This window comes from Homo sapiens, chromosome 12 (genome assembly GCF_000001405.40).
Source record: "Homo sapiens chromosome 12, GRCh38.p14 Primary Assembly".
NCBI lineage: Eukaryota > Metazoa > Chordata > Mammalia > Primates > Hominidae > Homo > Homo sapiens.
The window spans coordinates 64662502-64675137 of NC_000012.12; the positions used below are offsets into that span (position 1 = coordinate 64662502).

General features: G+C 43.3%; 1 protein-coding gene across 6 annotated transcripts in view, besides 5 other annotated features; it reads left to right on the top strand.

Moving 5' to 3' along the window:
- RASSF3 (Ras association domain family member 3) overlaps nucleotides 1-12636 on the top strand; it is a 190601-nt gene that overhangs the window by 155538 nt on the left and 22427 nt on the right. Inside the window, exon 1 of one of the 6 annotated variants that reach the window (XM_017019182.2) lies at nucleotides 1363-11888. The exons of the other annotated variants lie outside the window; for them this stretch is intronic. Within the exon in view, the coding sequence (XP_016874671.1) occupies nucleotides 11859-11888 (30 nt within the window). The 5' untranslated portion in view covers nucleotides 1363-11858. Of the gene's footprint in view, nucleotides 1-1362; nucleotides 11889-12636 lie in introns of those variants that run through there. 6 annotated transcript variants of the gene reach the window in all.
- Nucleotides 6810-6969: an enhancer, noted in NCBI's record as "active region_6599". NCBI's record gives its function as "activates an Ori minimal core promoter by ATAC-STARR-seq in GM12878 lymphoblastoid cells {active_cell/tissue: GM12878}" and the evidence as "EXISTENCE:reporter gene assay evidence [ECO:0000049][PMID:35858748]".
- Nucleotides 7190-7249: an enhancer, noted in NCBI's record as "active region_6600". NCBI's record gives its function as "activates an Ori minimal core promoter by ATAC-STARR-seq in GM12878 lymphoblastoid cells {active_cell/tissue: GM12878}" and the evidence as "EXISTENCE:reporter gene assay evidence [ECO:0000049][PMID:35858748]".
- Nucleotides 9982-10171: a silencer, noted in NCBI's record as "fragment chr12:65066263-65066452 (GRCh37/hg19 assembly coordinates)". NCBI's record gives its function as "represses an EF-1alpha promoter that drives an FKBP-Casp9 reporter gene in an ReSE screen in HepG2 liver carcinoma cells {active_cell/tissue: HepG2}" and the evidence as "EXISTENCE:reporter gene assay evidence [ECO:0000049][PMID:32094911]".
- Nucleotides 11815-12594: an enhancer, noted in NCBI's record as "H3K27ac-H3K4me1 hESC enhancer chr12:65068096-65068875 (GRCh37/hg19 assembly coordinates)". NCBI's record gives its function as "activates a minimal SCP1, AML or CMV promoter by ChIP-STARR-seq in primed H9 embryonic stem cells {active_cell/tissue: H9 hESC(primed)}" and the evidence as "EXISTENCE:reporter gene assay evidence [ECO:0000049][PMID:30033119]".
- Nucleotides 12242-12321: a silencer, noted in NCBI's record as "silent region_4625". NCBI's record gives its function as "represses an Ori minimal core promoter by ATAC-STARR-seq in GM12878 lymphoblastoid cells {active_cell/tissue: GM12878}" and the evidence as "EXISTENCE:reporter gene assay evidence [ECO:0000049][PMID:35858748]".

The window sequence follows — 12636 nt, forward strand, 5'->3', positions numbered from 1 at the left end:
GAGGCTGCTGTGAGCTGTGATTGTACCACTGCACTCCAGCCTGGGTGACAGATTGAGACCCTGTCTCAAACAAAGAAACAAAAACAAGATAAATGCCTAGATATATGTTAGATTAGTGGTCAGTTGCAAGAAGTAAATAAAGCTTCCATGGTCTCTGCGTGTGTATATGTGTGTTGAGAAGGAATATTGGGAATAATGAGTGATTGTAGCTGCATCTTGTTTCCGTGTGAAATGTGTCTTTAAGCTCCTGCTGGGGTCCAGACCCCATCCCGTGTTGAAATGGGACTCCCTGGTTGTTTCTGGGGCATGGTGTCTGTGGAAGAAGGTGGATTCTGGATCTTGCCTGGCTGGGAATGAGGGCTCCAGCAGCAAGGCTTAGGGTTTGAAGGGGAAATAGTGTGTGTGTTTTAAGGGGCTCAGGGGGAGATGTCTTTGGATATACATGAAGAGTGCTTAGAATAGTGCTAAGCACTCAATAAATTTTAGCTATTAACATATATAATGTACTGTGCCTTTTGTTATAAAACGCAGACCTTTAAATAGAAACTAGAAGGGCCACGTTCTTGGAAAAAATGTTCAGTGTTAGAAGCAGTAATTATGTATTAATAATTATGTAAGTGCCAAATTTGGAGCATGCACATAATGTTGATCTCTCTCTACCCCTCACCCTTTCATTCCCTTAGGCCATTTTGGAGGAATACATTTTAAGGCGGGAACCTCGGATGTGTTACGTAACAAAGGCCTTCTTGTGTTACTGTCTAGTGGATCAGTAGGCAAAAGGAAGAAACACATTCTCAAAGCATGGTCAGATTCCTTAAAATGTACTTAGATAAGGGGGAAAAGGGTAAGAAATCTAGTAAAGGTGTGGTGCATGCTAATTGATGGGGAAGACAAAAAAAGAATATAATGATTTCCGAAACTCTGACCATATCTAGGTTAGTGACAAAATTTGAGTTTGGGAAAAATATACATATCAGGGATGCAAGCTTATTCTATGCAGTTTACACCTGCAATTGTTATTGTTATTTTTTTTTTTTTGAGATGAAGTCTTGCTCTGTCACCCAGGCTGGAGTGCAGTGGTGTAATCTCCGCTTCCCAGGTTCCAGTGATCCTCCCACCTCAACCTCCCGAGTAGCTGGGACTACAGGCACATGCCACCATGCCCGGCTAATTTTTGTATTTTTACTAGAGATGGGGTTTCACCATGTTAGCCAGGCTGGCCTTGAACTCCTGACCTCAGGTGATCTGCCCACCTCGGCCTCTCAAAGTGCTGGGATTACAGGTGTGAGCCACCACCCCCGGCCATCCTGCAATTTCTTTACCACGTTTTAGCCTTGCCTTTTTTTTTTTTTTTTTTTTTTGCCTCAACAGAGAATTCTTTATTATGTCCAAAAGAGCACAACAAAAACATCCCAACAATACATAAACCTATATATAAAATATAGAATATCTCCAAATTTTTACTTTCTATGGCAGCACGCCAATATATACAAGAGAACATATTGATGGGGCAAAGGGAAAACTGATTTGGGCAATGACTTAATTAGTCAGGCATTAACATTCAGAGACCTGGTAAACAGCAACTTTAGTCAGAAAAGCAATATGAGAAGAGTTCCTGTGAAGCTGGGATTTACATACTTCATTCTCCGTTCCTGGTCATTTCATCCACAACTTGACTGTTGTCAATCATGGTTCTTTGCCTTTGGAGTGGTACTATGAAGGTACAGAGAATAGAGAATGCCCATCTCAGTACCAAAATTTCACCATGAAAAATCATAATAGAAATAACAAAGCTTAAAAAAATGCTGCATTTCAGAAGTATTTACCCTAATAATTTTTAAGAAAGCTTACCATAAATACTTCTAGGTTAGTGACAAAATTTGAGTTTGGGAAAAATATACATATCAGGGATGCAAGCTTATTCTGTGCAGTTTACACCTGCATAGGCCACCCATCTCGGCCTCCCTAAGTGCTGGGATTACAGGCGTGAGCCACCACGCCTGGCCCTGGTATATGTTTTAAGTCAACCAGTTCTCCTTAAGTACTTGTTTCAACATCATGTTATTGTGTACTACAGAAGCAATCTCTCAGTTATGAAAAATAAAATCAGTTTCAGGGCTCACAAAGTAAAAAGGGAAATTCTTTCCCAATCTCCCCTTCCCCCACCACCTGGCTTTTTTTGTTTAAAAAATTAAATTCAAATGTATAAGACCAAGCACCGGCACTTTCCAAAAAACAAAAATGAAGCCAAATCACAAAATTACTCAATAGTTATAGAAGACAGCTCTGATTTTGGGGGGTCATCTCTGGTTGCCTCAGTACAAGCATTGATCTTTGGCTGCTAGCCTTGCTTTTTAGTTTAAGGAATATGGATCCTATTATTGGTATTAAAAATTATACTTCTAAAACTATTGAAGGCTATTACTAATTATTTCAGTTCTCTATATAGTATTCGTACCTCAGTTTAATAGTGCTTACTAAGTCATTTAAATAATAGGTCTCTGTTGAAAAATATTAGAATTGTACCCTTCCACCTCTAAAAAGTCAGAGTTCAGGATGAAAAGGTATGAAGTCCTCTGTTGGTCATAGTATTTTGTGGGCTAAATCATTGTCTAAAATCAGAAAGACAGCGCAGTGGAAGGTTCTAGGAGTTGCATGGATCTGGGTTAGAATCTCAGTGCCTCTCGCAACCAATTGTTTAAAATGTGGGCAGATTAGTCCCTCCATTTCCATTTTCTCTTTTGTGAAATAATTATTATTTTGCAAGGCTCATGTGACAAAGTGGATTAGTATGTGTGTCTAGCATAATGTAGATGCTAAAATTAAATGATTGACTTGGCACCAGTCAGAGTTTATTCACTTTTAATATTGATTTTGAAAGTCTCCAGTCAGATTGCTTAATTGATACACATTAATTTTTACTGTTAGATTTTTAACTTATTATTAAACACCAAGTTTGATAATAAATACTATTAGTGAGGTAGGAGGTGGAACTTGACTCCAGACCAGATTGAAGACTGGCTGAAACAGGGAAGAGGTGAAAGCACCTCTCCATAAGACACGCCCACCAGTGCCATGTCAGTTTACCATTGCCATGGTAACACCTGGAAATTACCACCCCTTTCCATGGCAACAACCTGGAAGTTACCACCCTTTTTCTAGAGGTTTCTGATTAACCTGCCCTCTTAATTTGCATGTAATTAAAAATGGGCATAAATATGACTGCAGAACTGCCCTTGAGCTGCTGTTATGGAGCAGTCACAGAGCTTAACACTGCCACGTCAGTAAAGCAGTTTCCTTCTACCGCAGGGTCGCTCTTCAGCTCTTTCCTAAGTGCAGTTGAGAATCTTCCTGGGCTGAGCCCCAGTTTGGGAGCTTGCCTGCCCTTCATCAATAGCAGTAGTAATAGTAATGATGATGGTAGCCAGCCAGATATAGTGAAGTGTTCTATGTGTTCTCAGTTACTCTGAACAAGGGCCCTCAAAGGGCAGGTATTTTTATGTTCTTTTTGCTGACAAGAAACTGAGGCTTAGTGAGACTGAGATTTAGAAAGTAATGAAAGGAAAAAGTTATGTTAAATGATCACTTTTTTATGGAGCCATGCTTTTTTGTGCTTAATTTATTGCCTATTGCTCATATGTGTTTTACATTGTTCAGTGTTTTCTCAAGATAAGCAATGAGAAGTAACAGCTGTAGTCAACTTTCTTCCCCAAGTACTAAGTAAATAAGGTGGTTAGGTGTAGAATGGAATTAGCTATGGAATGCTGATTGTTTATTTTCTATGTAGGATGAAAGAAATTAGGCATGAAGAAGGAAGATAATTTTCTACTTGCTATAGATTTGAAATAGTTTTCTTTCTTTTGCTTTTTTTTTGTTTGACCTACTGAGGAGTTCAGAGTGGTTAACTGAAACAGACTCTAAAAATACCCTTTGGTAGCGTGCTCACTGAAGTATTTTCTGTTTGTCTAAAATTAGCAGATTTGAGCAGATTTGAGCAGTGTACTCTGGTTTTCCAAAGCCTTCCATTAGGTGACTTCTTATTCTGGTGTACTTTGTTATCTTTCTGGATAACACGTTTGATGGGTGTTAAAAGGTAAAGCCAGGAATGGCTTTACTTTCTAACAGAATACTTTACAAAGCAGTTTCCAGCTTAGATACTTCCTCCTACAGGGAACCTTCCCAAGGTGTTTCCTTGGCAGTGCTCCCTTCCTTATCCCGCCACTGTCCCACATGTCCCACCTAGGCCTTGAAGGGCAGAACCTGTGCTCTGTTCACTGTTGTATTCCAGTGCCTGACACAACTATTTGCACAGTATTTAGGTGCTGAACAAATATTTATTGAATGCCAAAATTGGTTCATTTACTAAGCAGAAAGAAAGGAAAATATTTTTTGTTGGCAGTGTCTGCAAAGAGATTTGTCTTTTCCCATGAAAATTGAGAAGTGGGGACAGAAAAGCAAGAAAGTGGGAGCAAAAGTAATTGAGATCCACAGTGGCTCAGGAGTGTTGACCGGTGCAGGGTGTGGTAGAAGCCCGTTAATGGGTAGGGGAGCCAGATACGGAGGCTCAGCTGGGCTGGGGGCAGGTCTGCAAGAAATGGGGGGGTGTGGAGAAGGTTACCAGCCGTTACCAGAGTTTTCCTCTGCATTGGGAATTTCTAAGGTGTGTTTTTGTTTTTAAAACAATATCTGTACTTTCAAAAATATGGTTTCTTTGCTGCAAGGGGAACACATTTATTTTGTGAAAGTAAGTGTACCTAGTTAACAGTTTCCATTTATTAATTTCTGGAATAGTGTTTTGGTTACTTGGAATGTGTGTGTGTATTTTCTTTCTTTCTTTCTTTTTGAGACAGAGTCTCGCTCTGTCACCCAGGCTGGAGTGCAGTGGCGCCATCTCGGCTTACTGTAGCCTCTGCCTCCCAGGTTCAAGCGATTCTCCCGCCTCAGCCTCCCAAAGTACTGGGATTACAGGTGTGAGCCACTGCGCCCGGCCTATTTTCTTTCTATTACAAGTCCCTTGCGGGAAAGATGGTCGTAGCTCCTATTCTAAATGAACAGAAGTTCTGTCTTAGAAATTTTCCCATTTTACAAGTGTTCAAAGAGGACCAAATTTCATCCTCTTTCCCTGCCTGTGTCCTGGAATCAGCTGAGAAGAAAGACAGGAGTAAGGTGGTCTTCAATTCAGCCAGTCTTCAATTGTTGGAGACCAAAATTTACCTTTATGCTGATCAGGGTTAGAGCTGCTATGCAGAACATGGCTTATCTCTGCGGGCAAGTGGCCTTCCTGAGGCTCATCTCCAGAGCTGTGCAGCAGAATGTTGCCCTCAAAAGAGGACAGAGGGCAGGACTGGCTATGCATGCATGCTCACTCCCTTCTTCCAGATTCACTGAGCCTGTTTTCCTTCTGAATTAAGAGGTAAGAAAGTAACACCTGGAAAGATGTACTTTCCCAAGGTCACGCAGATAGCTGGCAACAGGTTTTTCTCCTGGGCTCTAGAGGCCTTTGGTCTGAGTAGAAAGGGCATGGTTATGGGGTTGGCCAGGCCTTGTGTTCACCACATTCTGCTTCTGTGCTCTTAGCTTTCATTTCTGCATCTATACCATGGGGTTAAAATTTCTACCCTCGGGATTCCTGGGAGGGTTACCTAAGGTGTAACTGTTGAATGACCTGAACCAGTGCTTTGCACTCAGAATCAGCAATGTAAATATCACTCAGCCAGCCTGGGGCACTTTCCTCTATCAAACCTTACCAATCCTTTTCTTCTTCTTCTTCTTTTTTTTTTTTTCTCTTCAATTGAAACAGGGTCTCACTGTCTTGCCCAGGCTGAGGTGGAATGTGGCACAATCTCCGTTCACTGTAGCTTCCACTTCACAGGCTCAATCAATTCTCCAGCCTTAGCCTCCAAGTAGCTATAGGCACGTGCCATCACACCTGGCTAGTTTTTGTATTTTTTGTAGAGATGGGTTTTCACCATGTTGCCTAGGCTGGTCTCAAACTCCTGAGCTCAAAGCGATCTGCCTGACTTAGGCTTCGAAAATGCTGGGATTACAGGTGTGAGCCACCATGTCCAGCCTCGTTGTTCTTTCTTTTAATCACCCTGGCTTGGCACCTCAGAAAACATGGTGATTGGAGTTTAGCTTTCAGCAGGGTGGGACTTGGATGTTGACTGTTTTAATTTTGATTTTTTTTTTTTTTTTTTTGAAACGGAGTCTCACTCTGTCGCCCAGGCTGGAGTGCAGTGGCGCGATCTCGGCTCACTGCAAGCTCTGCCTTCCGGGTTCACGCCATTCTCCTGCCTCAGCGTTGTGAGTAGCTGGGACTACAGGCGCCTGCCACCGCACCCAGCTAATTTTTTGTATTTTTAGTAGAGATGGGGTTTCACCGTGGTCTCGATCTCCTGACCTCGTGATCTGCCCGCCTCGGCCTCCCAAAGTGCTGGGATTACAGGTGTGAGCTACCGCACCCAGCCCAATTTTGATTTTTTAGGAGGAAAAAAAATTGTTCCTAAGGAAGTCAAGTCCTAAATTGAAAGACTTTCATATATTACACAAACCCTAGAAAAACTTGGGTTACACCTGGGATTGATTTTGAAGTAGGGCGTTGAACTATGTGTCCTGTTTAACCTCGAGGAGCAAATGGCTTTCCATTCTAAACATTCTCATTTCTTCTCTGGGACATTCTTTAGGTGCTTGTTTGAGTTTCTGTTTTGTTAGGCACATTAGAGGACTCTATATGAACAAGTTCCTAGGGGAGGAAATTGGTGACTTAGATGAAAGGGTGAAAAAGGTGAAACCTTCACATTATTGTGTAAGGGATTGTCCCAGAATGTGTGAAATTTGATGTAGTCCTTCTTGGCTTCGTTTTTTCCTCAGATGTTCTGGATGAAACAGTTCCCCCTGTCACACGTGGAGATAAGGATGTGGCTCTAGGCAGGGCATATCCTGTGTTTAAGACTGTGTTGACTCTTCTTTTACAGTGTCTGCCACTTGTTTCCTGCCTAGGTCTTTAGTTTTGAGTGAAGTACAGCTGTGAAGTCCTAGACTTGTAATGCTAAGGCGTTCATTATGTTAAATTCAGTTTCTCTTTTTCTTTTCTCTGCTTCACATCAGCCTTGTACTTTAGCACGTTTCCAGTCCAGCCTTGGTAGCTGGGCTGCTGTTCTCCTTGACCCGTCCCTTTGCAAGCAGCAGACCACGGCCAGGGTTGGGAGTCCGGCTGGGCCACTGACCGCAGTGCTGAGGAAAGGTGGAGCGGGAGGCCCTTTCCTCCCAGCCTCGGGCTTCCTGTGCAAGCCACTGAGGAGGAAAAGGAGCTGGAGGGTGTGTGAACCCTCAGGTTATACAAGCAGCACTTCTATGCAACAAAGAAAATGTAAATTGCTGTAAATTACCAAAAAAAAAAAAAAAAAAAAAATTGCTGGCAATCTGCTTTCCAGGGCAGATGGAGGGTAGCTTTTATTTATACATTGGTCAGCTGATTGAGTAATGTTTAAAAACCACCTTTACTTCTGGCACTTCTTGGCAGTATCAGTTTTTTTTTTTTAATGGATAGAGAAGCTTTTTTATTTTACAGATAATAACTGCATATCTTTACCTGAGGGAGCTCAGGTTCGCTCTATCTAGCAGCTTCCACGTGTCATCTCTGTATGTGCAGTTGGTGCCTGCATTAAGGAGGACGGACAGCCTTGTGGCGTTGGTGCCTCTGTTTTGTGTCTAAAGCTATTTATTTGGGGGTGGCTGCCCCAGGAGCAGCACATCAAAGTGGTGTTCAGTTATGCTGGCCAAGTGCTGAATTGCATTGTGTTTATTTTTATTTCCAAGGTTATTTTATTTTTTACACATGAAAGCCTTTTTCCCTCCTAGATTTTACTGTTTTTTTTTTTTTCCTGATTAACAAAGATGTACAGACTGAGGAGAAGTTTTTGAAAATTTTGTAAAAATGTTGAAATTTTTATGCAGAAAGAGAAACAAAGTGGGGGCCCATCCCAAATCTCACCAATCAGGCAGAAACTATTTGTCATACTGGATACGGTTTCTCTCTCTCTCTTTTTTTTTTTTTTTTTGTGGGGGGGATCTTTTCATTAAAAAACTCTTCTGTAGGTATCTTAACAGCACTTGCATGGTCCTTAGGAGATGAAGGTGTTTCGCCATTTCTGGAGTGCTGCACATGTAGTTTTCTTCTTTTTAAATTGTCAGTGGCCCTGGCCAGATTACTAATTCCCTACTAAGTTGCCAGTTGTGCTAGTACCCCACCCTCCAAAATCCATATTGACCTTCTGTATCAAAATGGCTAAGTCGTCAGAAACCAGCAGTGGGCAAACGTTAGGGTCTCAGCTTTCCTCCTTTCTTTCACTTGCTTGGCTTCATTGGCTTTGAATCGGATAGACCCGGGTAGGAACCTCACCTAGCCCCTCCACTAACTTTGTGTCCTCCGGCAAAATAAATCTCCCTAAGCCTCTATTTCCTATATGCAAAATAGGGATGATAGTATTACCCAATTCCAGGGTTATTGTAAGAATTCAGAGGCAAGTTGTGAAGGGTGTGGCATGGTGTCTGGAATGGGTGATGATACAGTTCCCTAAGGGGAGCTGCTGCCACCTCTGTGCTGGGGACTCTCCCTTTGCCCCATCCCAAGAATTTGGGTTGGCTAATCCTGCCCTGTCTGGTTTTGGATGAGGGACCAGGAAAGAAAGGGAGGCAGGATAGGGGAGGTGTTTTTGAGAAAAACCTTCTTTTTCCCTCTGCAAGTATTTGTTTCAGGCAGTACGTGAACCCTCGAAGACTGATCGGGGCTGGTCCTGGGTCACCCCAGCAGGGTTCAGTGAAGTGGGCCAGGGGCACTGGACCCTCGGCTTTCTCCCTGCAGGGGGATCTGCCTCCCTGGCCTCGCCTCTTGTGATCTTCTATGCATGTTCACTCCTTACTCACTCTGAGCCTTCTGACTCTGACCAGCCTGTGTTCCTGGCATTCTTTTGATGATGTAAGTGTTTCACACCCTATCTGCAACCAAGCAGGAGGACGGAGAGGACTTCTGCAGCAAAGAGTACCTCTAGAAATTGCTTTTGTGAGGTTCTTTGAGGTGCTAATCACCTAACTTTTATTTGAATTGCTCTGACTTATCATTTAATAACTCCGGAGGACTTTTTACTTCCTTGGCAGGAGGAGGAAGGTGATTCCTCAGATAAAACCAAAACCTAGAGCTGCACTTCTGAAGGAAATTGCTGCTCAGGTAGGGCTGGATGTGTAGGTGTTCTCCATGGGCCCATGCCGTGCCTGTACCAGCGTCCTGAATTGACGGCAGCAGAGGGGTATCTTTCTTCATTCTTCATTATTTATTGCCTGAGGCAGAATGAATACTTGTACACTTGGGATTTCAGCCATGCCTTTTAAGGGCTGTGAACAGACTTATCAAAGAGCCATCTTGAGTGGCCTGTAGGGCGGAAGGGAGAATACAGGACAAGAAAGTGGATGGAATTAATGGGAACAAGAGTGACATAAAATAGTTTAACCCCCTGTGGCCCTCTTCAGACTTTTACATTTGTCTATTTTTATTTATTTAAAATTTTTTAACTTTTGTGGGTACGTAGGTGTATATATTTATGGGGTACATAAGATTTTTTGATACAGGCATATAATAATCATATCAGAGTAATATCACCCCAAGCATTTATCATTTGTATTACAAACAATCCATATATATTCTTTTAGTTATTTTATTTTGTTATCTTATTTATTTATTTATTTTGAGACGGAGTCTTGCTCTGTCACCCGGGCTGGAGTGCAGTGGCACAATCTCAGCTCACTGGAACCCCCGCCTCCTGAGTTCAAGCGATTCTCCTGCCTCAGCCTCCTGTGTAGCTGGGATTACAGGCCGGTGCCACCATGCCCAGCTAATTATTGTATTTTTAGTAGAAATGGGGTTTCACCATGTTGGCCAGGCTGATCTTGAACTCCTAACCTCAGATGTTCCACCCACCTCGGCCTCCCAAAGTGCTGGGATTACAGGTGTGAGCTATCGCACCCAGCCTATTATTTATTTTTGAGAGATAGGATCTTGCTCTGTTGCCCAGGCTGAGTCATGCTCACTGTATACTCTACCTTCTGGGCTCAGGCAATCCTCCCACCTCAGCTTCCCAAGTAGCTGGAACCACAGGTGCACAGCCGCCACTCCTGGCTAATATTTTTATTTTTTGTTCAGACGGTGGGGAGGCTCTTGCTGTGTTGCCCAAGCTGATCCTGAACTCCTGGGCTCAAGCGATCCTCCTCCCTCCGCCTTCCAAAGTGCTGAGATTACAGGTATGAACCACTATGGCTAGCCTGGTCTACAGAAATGTCTAATTTTCTTCAGACTTTGTTCTCCCTTCAAATTAGGTTTCATCTGGCAGAGTGGCTACTCCATTTGTTTGCAAGCCTCTGCCCTTGATGTTCAGATTCCTGCTGCTGGTGGAGCCGGCTGAGTTTCCCAGATGGGCTCCACCTGCCTCCTCCTCGGTTGCTGCAGCATTCATTGCTTCGTGCTTCCTGTCTGGCTCGCCTCCAAATGAGCCTGTTCATTTCCTTTCTCCGGAAACTGTCCTTATCACTGAGGTTCAAAAGTTCCATAAAGGATATGGCAGTCTTGAGACTTGACCTCCAAACTTTGACCTTAATAAAAACTGGTTTTTTAAACCCAGCCAACCTGAATGAGTGGACTATGGCTTTTGATTGCTGTTAGCTGAAGGAGATGTATGGCTGCTGGGTGACGCCTTGAACAGTGAGATGTTATATATAATCTTGAATTTGGGGTGGTGCTTGTGTCACCACTCGGAATTATGTTGTCAGTCTCACTTCCCTCCTGGCTTCTTGGCAATCGTCTTTATTAATGTTTTCAATTTTCTTACTATCCAGTGAACTTACTTTGTATTTATTGTTTGGGGTAGTGTTGTAGATGGTATTACTATTTGAAAACTTACTGTTGAAAGGGACCGTAGTCCAGTGGCCTCTTTTAATAATCAGGGAAAACTGAGTCCATGAAGACACGCCTGCCTTTGAAAACCTAAGAATCCACTGCTTTTTCTGTTGAGACAGACCCCACAGAGATCTCCGAGAGGACGGCTGCAGCAAGAGTGCTGACTCCCATGCAGCCGCATTCCTTTTCTAATTGTCAAAGCTGATTAGTGGATTTGGATGTGCGTGGCTCGGAGTCCTCTAATAATCTTTCCTTTCTTACATAGCTCACCTAGAATTTGAGGAAAATTAAACCAGTTGTGAAATATATCACGTTTCAGAAATGAACGGCATCTTAATTGATTCCCTTTGAGAACACATCAGACTGGGATTTCTGAGTGTAATCTGGTATGCCTTGAGGTGGGGACCTCATGCTGGGGCACTCAGAGGAGACTGGTCCACCTCCAAGTTTGTTTTCTGGCTCCAAACAAATGAGTGGCTGTTTGACTGTTGGCACACTACCCAGTTTTAAAAGTACAACCATATAGGGTATGGAGGGCTGGTAACCAGGGGGTTTAAAAAGTGAGGTCATGGAAGGCCCAGATGAAGCTCTTTTAATGTGTATCACAACTGCAATTAATCTTATTAACATGCTGGGCCTGTTCCTGCTTTCGCTGCCCCAGGTGTGTGAGAGTATTTAGGGGGCATGCTTTGAAGGATTCTTGTTCTTTGATGATGCACATGGATAACAGAAGTACATCAAACTTTGTATCTGGCATTAAAAGGGCTTTTGTTTGCCTCTGTAGATTCATTCAGTTTTGAGAAGAGAGCAAAAAGCTTCATGCCAATTGATAAGATGTACAAAAGAGGGTGGATTGCAAATGCAGTCTTGCAGCAGTGAGCTCTATGACCAGATCAGAATCAGCTGAACAGGAATGGAGCCCTCTTCTATATCCAACACTAAGGTAGTTCCAGCACAGTATTCTGGGAGTGAAAGATGTAAAAAAGCAGCCAGGCACAGTGGCTTATGCCTGTAATCCCAACACTTTGGGAGGCCGAGGTAGGAGGATCGCTTGAGCCTGGGAGGCGGAGGTTGCAGTGAGCCGATGTGGCCCCACTGCACCTCAGCCTGGGCGACAGAGTGAGACCCTGTCTCAAACAAACAAAAGTGTAAAAGCACTGTTGTGTATTTGGGAAGCAAAAGTATGCACAGGAAACAACAAGGCATAGAAGGTGTTGTGGATCCTAAACCTGAATTGATGAGGGTAGCATGGGGGTTCTGAGGGCAGGGAGGTAACTGAGGGCTGTTGTGGTTAGGACGGCTTCCTGGGTGGGGTGGGCCTTGAACGCAGGTGAGGAGCAGGATGGGGTGCAAGTGGTGCTCTTAGCTTGTGCTGACTGGGTAGGGCAGTACGTAGTGAGAGGTAAAGTTGGGGGAGTATAGTAGCAGCGGGTGGTACACTTCGGTTTTCTGTGTGCACTCTTTCTCTCTTGCTCTCTTGTTTTTCTTTCTTACAAGTATGTTTAAGGAAGGCTAGTATAGTACTCCAGCCTTGTAAGGTTGCCGCTTCATTTTATTTTTTAGACTATGTGTTAGAAGTTGTCTAAAATACCCACCTAGCCCCCCCCCCCCCCGCCACCCCGGCTTCTTGCTTAACAAGTAACCTCAAGGACCAAGAAAGAGGTTAAAGTTTCAAGTTCAACAGATGGGGA